Source organism: Homo sapiens, chromosome 1 (assembly GCF_000001405.40).
Source record: "Homo sapiens chromosome 1, GRCh38.p14 Primary Assembly".
NCBI lineage: Eukaryota > Metazoa > Chordata > Mammalia > Primates > Hominidae > Homo > Homo sapiens.
Window position 1 is genome coordinate 515650 of NC_000001.11, and position 2181 is coordinate 517830.

At 42.0% G+C, this 2181-nt stretch overlaps 1 non-coding gene across 1 annotated transcript; it reads right to left on the reverse strand.

The window, feature by feature from the left end:
• Window positions 1–726: 726 nt before the first annotated feature.
• LOC124904706 (U6 spliceosomal RNA) lies at window positions 727–830 on the reverse strand. Its single transcript, XR_007067247.1, has one exon. It is a non-coding gene; the product is annotated as a U6 spliceosomal RNA (small nuclear RNA).
• Window positions 831–2181: the final 1351 nt, after the last annotated feature.

Sequence of the window (2181 nt, forward strand, 5' to 3'; positions counted from 1 at the left end):
AGACTGTGCCACTACACTGAAGCCTAGGAGACAGAGCGAGACTTCATCTCAAAAAAAAAAAAAAGGACAATAAAGAAATAAAGCTAATAAGCTAACATAAGGAAAGATAAAATATGTGACAAATAGGCTGGGCACATGGCTCACAGCTGTAATCAAGCACTTTGGGAGGCCAAGGCGGGTAGATCTTGAGATCAGGAGTTCGAGACCAGCCTGATCAACATGGTGAAACCACGTTTCTACTAAAAATACAAAAATTAACCAGGCATGGTGGCATATGCCTGTAATCCCAGCTAATAGGAGGTCTTTCATTTATCACACAGAAAATAACTTGTTAAATTATAATACCTGTGTGGGCGAAGGTGCAGTGAAATGGCCATTTTCTTGTAGTATTAGTGGTGTTTAAAATGTATATAAGCCTTCCAGCATAAAGCTTGGAAATTTTTTTTAAATCATACAGACAGTGACTCATTATACTGCCTCCTCCAACTCCTGGCCTCAAGCAATCCTCCCACCTCAGCCTCCCAAAGTGCTGGAATTACAGGCTGACAGCCACCATGCCTGAAAGCTTTGCAATTTACATTGAGGGTAATAAGAATGCTCATGCCCTGTGACTCACAGTAATCTCACTTCTGGAAATTTCACCTTTGGATATAATTCAACCTAAACAAAAGGTCATATGCACAAACACCGTGAAAATCTGGGAGTAATTTTTTTCTCTTTTTTTAAAAAAATATGGAATGCTTCACAAATTTGCATGTCATTCTTTCACAGAGGCCGTGCCAATCTCTCTATTGTTCCAACTTAAGTATGTGTGCTACTGAGGCAAGCATGAGTAATTTAAGATAGGGTGGTTAAGTGAAATAAGGAAGAATTATGGAGAATTTAAAAATCTATGCTATTTATAGGCACCTAGTAACAGCTCAGTAAATATTAGCTGCTACTATTATTTTTTTTATGGTAATTTCACTCAATTAAAAACTGTCGTTAAAAATTGCCATTGTCATGGAACATAATGTCTCCTACTGTATAATTGTAGAAACAGATACAATTTGTCCCTTGGTATATGGGGGGATTAGTTCCAGCTCTCCCATTTCTGTGTATACCAAAATCCACGCATACTCAAGTTTTCAAAGTCAGTCCTGTGGAATCCACATATAACACAAATGGGAAAATTAGTGAGGTGTGGTGACAAGCACCTGTAGTCCCAGCTACTTGTGAGGCTGAGGCAGGAGGATTGCTTGAGCCCAGGAGGTTGAGGCTGCAGTGAGCCATAATTGCACCACTACACTCCAGTCTGGGCAACAGAGTGAGACAGAAGGTTGACTTTTTAATAGAATTTTTCTGTTCACTTGAAGATATGGTCAGGATTGTGGCATATGAAAATTCTTCATAAAATAACTATCTAATCCAATTAATGCTGGAATTGGGAACAGCAGAAGTGTCATCTCAGAGCTACTCGCAATGAAAGGTGATGTCTGGGGCTCAGGTGTGTTGAGGTCCCCATGCCTGGACTATGGGTGCTGAGTGGGATTTACTTGTCCATCCATTTTCTATATTCCAGCACTGGGAAACTAGGGACAGTACTTGTTCTCAAGGGAATCTTCAGCTTAGGTGGCTCTGTAAAAGAGAAATTACATCATTGAAAAATCGTCGCAGGTCAGGTGAGGTGGCTCATACCTATAATCCCAGCCCACTGGGAGACTAAGGCAGGAGGATTCCGTGAGGCCAGGAGTTCAAGACCAGCCTGAGCAACACAGTGAAACCTCATCTCTACAAAAAATTAGAAAATGAACTGGGTGCGGTAAAACATTCGTATAGTCCCAGCTACTCTGGAGGCTGAAATAGGAGGATCGCTTGAGCCCAGGAAGTGGAAGCTGCAGTGAGCTCTGATCTCACCACTGCACTCTAGCCTTGGTGACAGAGTGAGACCCAGTCTCAAGACACACACAAACACACACACACACACACACACACACACACCCAATCTCACTCTGTCCAGCCTTGACTAATCAAAAGGGCCTTCTGGTTACAGAAGAGGTATGCTCTTTTGTAGGACAGGGAGAGACCAGCAAGCTTGTTCACAGACTTTTCCTCATCCTCTGCTTAGTTTTCCAAGAACCCTCACAGTGGAAATGGAGTCTCTGGGAAAATGACCTAAATCTTTGGGTTACCAGGGGAGAA